General features: G+C 42.8%; 1 protein-coding gene and 1 pseudogene across 2 annotated transcripts in view; one reads left to right on the top strand and one right to left on the bottom strand.

The window, feature by feature from the left end:
- CHCHD6 (coiled-coil-helix-coiled-coil-helix domain containing 6) overlaps positions 1-12,000 on the top strand; it is a 256,181-nt gene that overhangs the window by 58,726 nt on the left and 185,455 nt on the right. The window lies entirely within an intron of this gene.
- On the bottom strand, positions 3,272-4,486 carry RCC2P4 (regulator of chromosome condensation 2 pseudogene 4; annotated as a pseudogene).

Raw genomic sequence — 12,000 nt, forward strand, 5'->3', positions numbered from 1 at the left:
ATGTATCCATTCTGCCAATCTCTGCCTTTTGATTGGAGTGTTTAATACATTTACATTTAAAGTAATTATTGAGAAGGAAGGACTTTTGCCATTTTTGCTATTTGTATAGCTTTTATTGTCCCTCAGTCCTTCATTTCTGCCTTCTTTTGTATGTAGTTGATTTTTCTAATGTAGTTAACTGATTTGATTCCCTTCTGCTGTCTTCCTTTCCTTTCCTTTCTGCTTCTTCCTTTCCCCTTTCATCTTTCTCCTTTTTCTTTTCCCTTTTCCTTTCCTTTTTCCCTCTCCTTCCTTTCCTTCCCCTCCCCTCCCTTTCCCTCTTCTCCCTTTTTCCCCCTCTTCTCCCCTTTTTCCCCCTCTTCTCCCTCCCCCTCCTCTTTCAACAAGGTTGTGCTCTGTTGTCCAGGCTGCAGTACAGTGGCATGATCATAGCTCACTGTAATCTCAAACTTCTGGGCTCACACAAGCCTGCCTCAGCCTCCTAAGTACCTAGGCCTATAGGTGGTTGCCACCATGCCCAACTATTGTTTTTGTTTGTTTATTTGTTTGTATTTTTTTAAAGATGGGGTCTTGTTATGTTGTCCAGGCTAGTCTTGAACTCCTGGCCTCAAGTGATCCTCTTGCCTTGGCCTCCCGAAGTGCTGGGCTTACAAGCATGAAGTACCACACTCAGCCTCATTTCTTTTAGCGTATATTCTTCAGATACTTTCTTTGTGGTTACAATGGGGATTACAGTTAACATCCAAAATTTCTAACAATCCAGTGGAATTGATATCAGTTTAACTTAAAATCTCTGCCAATTCATGGAGACAGAAAGTAGAATAGAAGTTACCAGAGGCTATGGGAGAGGAAGTTGAGGAATTATGGTTTAACCAGTAAAGAGCTTTTGTGTGGGATGATGCAAAAGTTTTAGAAATGGATAGTGGTGGTAGTTACTCAGCATTTTGGATGTACATAATGCTGAAATTGTATGCTTTACAATGGTTAAAAATGGCATATTTTATTTATATTTTACCACAGAGAATAAAGCTAAAAACAACTAACTCTGCTTCTATATAGCTCTGCTCCCCTATTTATGTTATCGTCACAAATTATATTTTTATACATTGTGTCCCAATAATATAGATTTATAATTTTTTTGTTTTCTAGACAATTATATCATTTATTTAAAATGTTTACTCTAAGAAATATATATATACACACACATATATACACATACATACATACATACATGCATATATATATATATATATATATATAAATATATGAAATAATACAATTACAGCACTAAACCAGGCACCTTCAACCAAATCACAACCTTCTCTTTGATTCCCCTTCATGCTAATCATCTTTCAAATTCTTTGTCCTGAGCTGGAAGACCAGTCAGATGCCCACGGGGTCAGCACCAAGCACGTTCCCAGCTGGGCAACTGTGTACCTTTCTCTAGGAGTACAAGACGACCTTCCCCACAACTCCTTGTTTTAAAGGATTTAACCCATTCGGAAGTTCATTTTTTAATTTAAGCCAAAGGGAGGTGCGGGACAAGGCAGTCTTCACTTCGAAGGTCCCTTTCCTGCTCCACTCCCTGGCTAGGGTTCTAGAAGAGGCTGGCTGCCAGGTTTACATGAGGCTGCCGGAAGATCTAAGTGCAGCTCCGCCCAGGGCGGCTCCTGCAAAGGCTAGGACTTCGGGTGCTGCGTCCTCAACCCTCTGGGTGACCACAACTCAAAGGAGAGACGTCAAGGATTCCAGGAGCACAGATGCCTGGGTTGCGTTCCAGGAAAGAGACCTGTCCAGGCAAACGGATCAGGCTGTCTCCTGGAAGTTTGAGTTAGAGATGGTGGTTTTGGGGTGATTTGGACAAATTAGGTTAGTTTAGCAAAGCTCTGAAGTGGCAGAAGCTTCTCCCCTGGACTACTGATTGAACACAGAACACGAGATGCACGTGGCATCTCTAAGACTTAAGTCTTAGAGAGATGCAGGCCAGCTTCCTCCCATAGGGCCTTGGGACTGGCGGGACAGACACTGCTACGTGCCCTCCAAGGGCGGGAGTCACGGTAAGGAGTGACTGGGGTGGAAAATAGAGAAAAAAGCAACAACAACTAGATCATTTTTGGCATTTTAACATGGAGACAGTGACAAGTGGTAACAATAGCAAATGCAAACAACAACAACAAAAAAACTTGAAGAGACCAATATTTAACTTTCCCATCTACCCAGTTCTCACATTTAAGTTCTATTCTCATCTCCCCCATAAGCACCACTGAATTAAATATCTATTTTAAAGCACCCAAACCAGTCCAGACCCTCTGGAAACCAAGAGCCCTAGCCAGAGCTGTCGCCTCTCTTGGGTCCAGGTGAGAGGAGGGTTCCAGGAAAGGCACCTCATTACTCACTCAGCACAGCGAGCTCGGGCACAGGCACTTGACGGGGACACTGGTGGCAGTCACAGCATCCGTGCTGACACGCAAGGAAGGACATTCTTTGGTAATCTCAAATATTTGGTACCAGAGCCAAGCAAACGTGACTAAAGAGAGCTGAGTCAGCAGAACGGTACCCCGAGTCTCAGTAACAGGACGGCCTGTGCGACGCAGGATCCAGGTAGGGGAAAAAAGGAGACCAAAGCACAAGGTGATCAAGGCTGGTACAGAAAGGGCTGATCCTTCTTGCAAGGACTGGAGAATGCACTTGACTGCTGGCTGATCAATCTCTAATTGGTGAGTGCATGTGACAAGGCTCAGCCCTGGCTCCACAGGGAACCACCTCTGCCCCACCCCCAAGTCCCCATGGTTCCACCATCACCTGATTTTCATTTGGACTTCTTTAACAGCTAAAGTAGATATAAATGGCTAAACACAGACTCCCAATCCCCCTCCAGGGGGACACTGCAGATTATAGGCAGCCAAGGGGAGAAACAGAACCAACACCGGCTTAGGCCAATCTGCAAGAAAAAGCAGGAAAGGAGGACCCGGATGCTTCCAAAGCATGTGAGCGTGGTTTTGGATGGAAGCAGGCCGGTGACTTTGCCTGGCTGCTGCTGGTTCCTGTAAGGGACATTTTTTCTGATTAAATGGCGATTCCTCTTCTATGTAGCATCTGCTTGGATCATGATGGTAATCATAACTGGAAAGGGGTGTTTTGGGGAGTGTATTCAGGAGAGGAAGAAAGAAAAAACTTAAAAAAAAACCTAGATTGCTGAAAGTTTCTGCCTCTTGTAGGAATGGTAAGTCAACTATCAGCAAGTATTTTAATTCGACATTAAAGGGAAAAAAACGTACTTTGGAAAGCATACAGAACAAAAGGTAAATATTGGATCACTTGTAAAATGGAATCTTATGGAGTCTAAACAAAAATGCACCTTAGGTCAGCTTTTGCTTTTTTAAATACCTCGTTTGACTTCCCATCCCAGTGCACATGGAAGTGACAGCTGCCACGAGAGGTGTAGAGTCGGAGAAGTCTCTGGGAGCATCAAAGGGTTTGGCGGTTGTATTCTGGTAGTTTCTTGATCTTCTCTTTCTCGGTCTCACTTTTGTCTCTTGGTGTCACCAAAGAGTGTGAGTAGCCCATGGTGACCTCTGAGAAAATGCCATCCAGAGTCTTCACCTCCTGGGCTGCAGTGGAAGACTTGGGCTTGTGGTCCCTTAGCCCAGTTCCCCGAAGGTCGGTGATGGGCCCCAGCTATGGTGCTCTCTCGGTGGCCACAATGATGCTGCTCTTCCCACAAGCCAGGCTCTGGATTATCCAGCCACAGAGGTCCTGCACTGCTTTTGGGTATGTGGTAGATTCACGGGAGGTGTTGGTGGCCCCCTGGAAAAACAGACCACCCACTTCACTGATGGCAAAGGAGCAGGTGTAACCAGTATAGATCTGGGACACCCGATGTCCAGGGAAGTCAAACAGCTTCACCAGGTGGGGGACCATCTCATCCTGCTCTGCGTGGCCCAGCCGGCCATAGCCACTGAAGCCCCAGGAGAAGACTCACTTCTGGGAGTCCAGGACCAGTGTGTGGTTAGCGCCACAGGCTACGTCTCACACAGCTACATTTGGTACAGGCAGGATCTGCCTCAATGAAGATGGTCACTCAATGGGGAACCAGTCTGTAGTTGTACTCTGTCCGCCGTGCCCGGGCGATGAACTTCCCATCCGAGTTGTGTCCCAGCTGACCATATTCATGGCACCCAAAGGAATAGAGGTTTCCTTTGCAGTCCATTATCATACTGAATTCAGCCCCAAAGGCCATTTTGGTAATTGGCTGGCCATTGTATATTATCTGTGCGGGGCTGGGGATAGTGTCTGTCAGGTTGCCAAGGCCCAGCTGCCCCATCTTGTTCTCCCCAAACGCAAACACGGAGCCCATTTCCATCAAGGCCAAGGTGTAGTTCTGCCCACATGCTGCAGACATGATCACTTCGTGGCTGAGGCCCTCGATGAGTCTGGGGGCTCCTACTCTCTTGGTGTCACCATGTCCCAGCTGCCCTTTCTCATTCCTAGATTTCCAAAGAATCTTTCCTGACTTTTCCTCCCATGCCTGTTAGGTGCTCTCTTTTCTGTCCAGACCATGATTTTCCCACCAGGCACCTGTGTGTTGTTAGCTTACCCAAAGCATTTTCTATTTTTTATTTCTATTTATTTATTTTCAACATTTAGGTTCAGGGGTGCTTGTGAAGGTTTATTATATAGGTAAACTGCATGTCACAGGGGTTTGGTGTACTAATAATTTCATCACCCAGATAATTAGCCTAGTACCCAAAGGGTATTTTTTCTGATTCTCTCCGTCTTCCTACCTTCCACCCTCAAGTAGGCCCCAGTGTCTGTTATTCCCCTCCTAGTATCCAAGTGTTTTCATTGTTTAGCTCCCACTTGTAAGTGGGAACATGCAGCCTTTGGTTTACTGTTCCTGTGTTAGTTTGCTTAGGATAATGGCCTCCAGCTCCATCTATGTTGCCACAAAGGACACGATCTCATTCTTTTTTATGTCTGCATAGTATTCCATGGTGTACATGTACCACATTTTGTTTATCCAGTGTACCATGGATGAGTATTTAGGTTGATGCCATGTCTTTCCTATCGTGAATAGTGCTGCAGTGAACATATGTGATATGGTTTGGGTCTGTGTCCCCGCCCAAATCTCATGTCGAATTGTAATCCCCAGTGTTGGAGGTGGGGCCTAGTGGGCAGTGATTGGATCGTGGGGGTAGATTTCTCATGCATGGTTTAGCACCATCCCCTTAGTGCTGTTTGTGTGATAGTGAGTGAATTCTTGTGAGATCTGTTTATTTAAAAGTGTGTAGCACCTCCCCTAACCTCTCTCTCTCGCTCCTGCTTCTGCCCTGTAAGACAGCTGTTCCCCCTTTGCCTTACACCATGATTGGAAACTTCCTGAGGTCTCTGCAGAAGCAGAAGCCACTATGCTTCCTGTACAGCCATGCACAGGAAGAACTTGTTCTTCTTGTGTACCTTTTCATCCTGTGCAGCAGAACTGCGAGCCAGTTAAACCATTTTTCTTTATAAACTACCCAGTCTCAGGTATTTCTTTATAGCTGTGCAAGAACGGACTAATACAATATGCATGTGTGTGTCTTTATGGCAGAACAATTTATATTCCTTTGGGTATATACCCAATAATGAGATTGCTGGGTTGAATGATAGTTCAATTTTAAGTTCTTTGGGGAATCTCGCCACATTTTCCACAGAGGCTGAAGTAATTTACATTCCCACAGCAGTGTCTATAAGCATACCCTTTTCCCCACAACCTCGCCAACATCTATTATTTTTTGACTTTTTAATAATATTCTGACTGGTGTAAGATGGTATCTCATTTTGATTTTGATTTGCATTTCGTTAATGGTTAGTGATGTTGAGCATTTTTTCATATGCTCATTGGCTGCATGTATGTCCTTTGCCCACTTCTTAATGGGGTTATTTTTTTGCTTATTAATTTGCTTAAGTTTCTTGTAGATTCTAGGTATTAGACCTCTGTCAGATGTATAGCTTGCAAATATTTTCTCCCATTTTGTAGGTCGCACGTTTACTCTGTTGATAGTTTCATTTGCTCTGCAGAAGTTCTTTAGTTTAATTAGATTCCATTTGCCAATTTTTGTTTTTGTTGCAATTGCTTTTGGTGTCTTTGTTGCGAAATATTTGCCAAGTCCTATGTTCAGAATGGTATCTTCCAGTATTTTATGGTTCTAGGTTTTACATTTAAATATTTAATCCATCTTGAGTTGATTTTGTATGTATTGTAAGGTAGGGGTTCAGTATCACTCTTCTGCATATAGCTAGCCAGTTATCACAGCACCATTTATTGAATAGGGAGTCTTTTCCTCATTGCTGGTTTTGTCAAAGATTAGATGATTCTTAGGTATGTGGCATTACTTCTGGGTTCTCTATTCTGTTCCGTTGGTCTGTGTGTCTGTTTTTGTACCAATACTCTGCCGTTTTGTTTACTGTAGCCCTGTAGTATAGTTTGAAGTTGGGTAACATGATATCTCCCGCTTTGTTCTTTTTGCTTAGGATTGCCTGGGCTATTTGGGCTCTTTTTTTCTTTCATTTTTTTGAGATGGAGTCTCACTCTGTTGCCCACGCTAGAGTGCAGTGTTGCGATCTTGGCTCACTGCAACCTCTGCCTCCCAGTTCAAATGATTCTCCTGCCTCAGTCTCCCGAGTAGCTGGGATTACAGACCTGTGCCACCACTCCTGGCTAATTTTTTTTGTACTTTTAGTAGAGATGGGGTTTTGCCATGTTGGCCAGGCTAGTCTTGAACTCCTGACCTCAAGTGATCCACCCAGCTTGGCCTCCCAAAGTGCTGAGATTACAGGCATGAGCCACCATACCTGGCCCAGGCTCTTTTTTGAATATGAATTCAATATGAATTTTAAAATAGTTTTTCCTAATTCTGTGAAGAATATCATTGGTAATTTGATAGGAATAGCATTGAATCTGTAAATTGCTTTGTGCTGTATGGCCATTTTAATCATACTAGTTTTTTGTATCCGTGAGCATAGAATGTTTTTCCATTTGTTTGTGTCATCTCTGATTTCTTTGAGCCATGTTTTGTTTTGTTTTGTAATTCTCATTGTAGAGATTTTTTACCTCCTTGGTTACGTGTATTCTAAGGTATTTTATTCTTTTTGTGGCTATTGTGAATGGGATTGTGCTCTTGATTTGGCTCTTGGCTTGGATGTTTTTGGTGTATAGTAATGCTACTGATTTTTGTATGTTGCTTTTGTATCCTGAAACTGTGCTGAAGTTGTTTATCAGATCAGGGAGCTTTGGGCAGAGACTAGATATAAAATCATGTTGTCTGCAAATAGGGATAATTTGACTTCCTCTTTTCCTGTTTGGATGCTGTTTATTCTTTCTTTTGTCTGATTGCTCTGGCCAGGATTTCCAATAATATGTTGAATAGAAGTGATCAGAAAGGACATTCTTGTGTTGTGCCAGTTTTCAAGGGGAATGCTTCCAGCTTTTGCCCATACAATATGATACTGGATGTGGATTTGTCATAGATAGCTCTTATTTTCAAGTATGCTCCTTCAATGCCTAACTTATTGAGGGTTTTTAACATGAAGGGATGTTGAATTTTATAGGAAACCTTTTCTGCATCTATTGAGATGGTCATGTGGTTTTGTTTTTAGTTCAGTGAATGGGTTGAACCACATTTATTGATATGCGTATGTTGAACCAACCTTGCATCCCAGGGATAAAGCCTACTTGATCATGGTGGATTAGCTTTTCTGTGTGCTACTGGATTTGGTTTGCTGGTATTTTGTTTAGGATTCTTGCATCTGTGTTTATCAAGGATATTGGGCTGAAGCTTTCTCTTTTTGTTGTGTCTCTGCCAGGTTTTTGGTATCAGGATGATGCTGGCCTCATTGAATGAGTTGTGGAGAAGTCCCTCCTCCTCAATTTTTTGAAATAGTTTCAGTAGGAATGGTACCAACTATTCTTTATAAATCTGGTAGAATTCAGCTGTGAATCCATTTGGTCTTGTGCTTTTTTTGGTTGGTAGGGTTTTTATTGCTAATTCAATTCTGGAACTTGTTATTGGTCTGTTGAGGGATTTAATTTCTTTCTGGTTTAGTCCTGGGAGGTTGTATGTGTCCAGGAATTTATCCACTTCTTCTAGATTTTCTAGTTTCTTTGCATAGAGTTGTTCGTAGTAGTCTCTGATGATTTTCTCTATTTCTGTGGGGTCAGTGGTAATGTACCCTTTATTATTTCTTTTTTTCTTTTTCCTTTTCTTTTTTTTTTTTTTGAGATGGAGTCTTGCTCTGTCGCCAGATTGGAGTGCAGTGGCGCAATCTCGGCTCACTGCAACCTCCGCCTCCCAGGTTCAGGCAATTCCCCTGCCTCAGCCTCCTGAGTAGCTGGGACTACAGGCATGTACCACCACGCCCGGCTAATTTTTTGTATTTTAGTATAGACGGGGTTTCACCATATTGACCAGGATGGTCTTGATCTCCTGACCTCGTGATCTTGATCCGCCCACCTCGGCCTCCCAAAGTACTGGGCTTACAGGCATGAACCACCACGCCTGGCCCCCTAAAGGGGGGTTCTCCTCTCTTATTTTCTTTGTTAGTCTAACTAGTGGTCTATCTTATTTATTTTTTCAAATAACCAACTCCTGGGTTTGTTGATATTTCGTATGGTTTTTAATGTCTCAATTTCTTTCAATTCAGCTCTGATTTAGGTTATTTTTTGTCTTCCAGCTTTGGGGCTATTTTGCTCTTGCTTCTCTGGTTCTTCTAGTTGTGATTTAGGTTGTTAATTGGGGATCTTTCTAAGTTTTTGATGTGGGTATCTAGTGCTATAAACCGCCCTCTTAACACTGCCTTAGCTATGTCCTGAGAGATTCTGGTATGTTGTATCTTTGTTCTCATTAGTTTCAAATAATTACTTGTTTTCTTCCTTAATTTCATTACTTACCCAAAAGTCATTCTGTATGTGCCATGTGGCAATATGAAGTTGTTTTTGGGTGGAGAGTTCTGTAGATGTATATTAGGTCCATTTGGTCAAGTGTTGAGTCCAGGTCTTGAGTATCTTTGTTAATTGTCTGCCTCAGTGGTCTCTCTAATACTGTCATGGGGTGTTGAAATCTACACCTACTATTATGTAGGAATGTTAGTCTCTTCATAGGTTTTTTGTTTTTTTGAGATAGAGTCTTGCTTTGTCACCCAGGCTGGAGTGTAGTGGCGCAATCTCGGCTCACTGCAAGCTCCGCCTCCTGGGTTCACGCCATTCTCCTGCCTCAGCCTCCCGAGTAGCTGGGACTACAGGTGCCCGCAACCACGCCTGGCTGATTTTTTGTATTTTTAGTAGAGGCAGGGTTTCACCATGTTAGCCAGGATGGTCTTGATCTCCTGACCTCGTCCGCCTGCTTCAGCCTCCCAAAGTGCTGGAATTACAGGCGTGATCATAGGTCTTTAAGAACTTCCCTTATGAACCTGGGTGCTCCTGTGTTGGGTATATATACATTTAGGATAGTTAGGTCTTCGTGTTAAATTGAACTCTTTACCATTGTGTAACGCCCTTTGTCTTTTTTATCTTTGTTGGTTTAAAGTCTGTTTTCTCTTAGATTAGGATTACAACTCCTGCTATTTTTTGTTTTCCATTTGCTTGGTAGATTTTTCTGTATTCCTTTATTTTGAGCCTGTGGATGTCATTGCATGTGAGATGGGTCTCTTGAAGACAGCATACCATTGGGTCTTCTTTATCCAGCTTGCCACTCTGTGCCTTTCAATGGGGTATTTAGCCCAATTATGTTCAAGGTTAGTATTGATATGTGTGAATTTGAACTTGTCATCATGTTATTAGCTGTTTATTCAGATTTGTTTGTGTGGTTGCTTCATAGTGTCACTGGTCTATGTACTTTGGTGTGTTTTTGTAGTGGCCAGTAATAGTCTTTCCTTTCAATATTTGGTGCTCCTTTCAGGACCTCTGGTAAGGCAGTTCTAGTGGTAATGAATTCCCTCAGCATTTGCTTGTCGGAAAAGGATCTTATTTCTCCTTTACTTATGAAGCTTAGTTTGGCTGGATATGAAATTCTTGGTTAGACTTTTTTTTTTTCTTAAAGAATGCTGAATATAGGGCCCCAATCTCTTCTGGCTTGCAGGGTTTCTGTAGAAAGATCTGCTGCTAGCCTGATGGGGTTCCCTTTGTAGGTGACCTGCCCTTTCTCTCTAACTGCATTTAACATTTTGACCTTGGAGAATCTGATGATTATATGTCTTGGGGATGGTCTTCTTGTGTAATGTCTTGCAGGTGTTTTCTCCCTGCAGTATTTTCAAGTAATACCTGCCCTTTTCCAGCCTTAGTTCTGAATTAGGTGAAAGGGAGAAGTGCTTTGCATCAGTCCTTCAGGCAGCCGTCAGACAGGTTAGAACAGATGCACACAATAATTTACGAGTAATACCTGCCGTGCTCCCTGTGGAACCAAGGACCAGAGTCTCACGTTGGGAATGTGGCTACAACTGAGCCATGACAGCGATAGGGCAAAGGCAAGTAAAAACACCAGAAAGTTTTCCTACTGTTCTCAAGTGGCCTTTTTCTTTATTCAGCATTCTCTTGCTTGTTTTAAACTTTGGACTATTTTTCAGAGCTTTGAGAAAGTTGGTTCTGACAGTTTCTGCTTTTCTTTTTTTTTTTTTTTTTTTTTTTTGAGACAGAGCGTCAGAGTCGCCTAGGCGAAGTGCAGTGGCACGATCTTGGCTCACTGCAACCTCTGCCTCCCAGGTTCAAGCAATTCTCCTGTCTCATCCTTCCAAGTAGCTGGGATTACAGGCACACACTGTCATGCCCAGCTAATTTTTTGTATTTTAGTAGAGATGGGGTTTCACTATGTTGCCCAGGCTGGTCTTGAACACCTCAGCTCAGGCAATCCTCCTGCCTCGGCCTCCCAAAGTGCTGGGATTATAGGTGTGAGCCACTGTGCCCAGCCTCTGCATATTTTTCTATGTTTCTGTGGGAGGATGAGAGCTTGGAGCTGCCTGTCCCACCATTTTTCTCTTCTTTGATGATTCTTGTCTGAATCACTATGCTAGTGGTTATAAAATGATGATTTTATATTTCTGTAATGTCTTCTATATTTACTAGTTGGCATTCTATTTAAGAGTTTTATTTCCTGTTTATTAGTACTGATATGATTCAGATATTTTAATAGCATATTTTAAAATATAACTTATTGAGGTTTAATGTATACACAATAAAATTCACACGTTAAGTGCTCAGGTTGGTGATTTTGCTGAGTGTAACATGTAACAACCATATAATAACCACCTCAGTCAAGATACAGAGACTGTTCAGCTTCCCAAAAAGTTCTCTTATGCCCTTTTGCAAAGGCTTTCTTAAAACATTTTTTGGAAATTACAGATTTACAGGAAGTTGTAAGGATAGTAGAGAGAGGGCCCATGTATCCTTCATCATATTTCCCTCAGAAGTTATATCTTGTGTAAATATCATACGATATCAAAACCAAAAAGTTGGCATTGGTACAATGTATATGTGTAGTTCCATGTCACTTTATTACTTGTAAATTCCTGGAACCACGACTTCGTGCTCCCCACTAGGCCTTTCTCTGATACCACCCTGGCTGGGATGGGGAAGGGCACCTGCTTACTGCTCCCCAAGTGATCTCCACCGACAGGGAAGGCCTCACCACGCTTGGGTGGTAGTCAGAGCTCCACCACCCTTGCTCTTCTCTGACACCCTGGCAGGGAAGGTGGGTTGAGGCATCTTGTTTTGTGAGGGTGGAAGTCCAGGGTCTCCAGTTGGCCTTTGCTGGTGAGGGTGGCAGTGCAGCTATTTCTGTGGTGTTAGGCTGGAGCAGTGTACTTGTTATCTAAAAGTTTACTGTCTAAATTTGACTGTCTTGCTAAGCTGCTTCTTTCCTGGTCCTTTGGCTAGAAAGAGCTGGCTTTTCTGGGGGGCTTTCCTGGTTTATTCCCATTGGCATCCCCTCCAGCACCCAGTCTGAGATAATGAGGCAAGAAGAAAACTCA

The sequence above is a fragment of the Homo sapiens genome, chromosome 3 (assembly GCF_000001405.40).
Source record: "Homo sapiens chromosome 3, GRCh38.p14 Primary Assembly".
In the NCBI taxonomy this organism is placed as follows: Eukaryota; Metazoa; Chordata; class Mammalia; order Primates; family Hominidae; genus Homo; species Homo sapiens.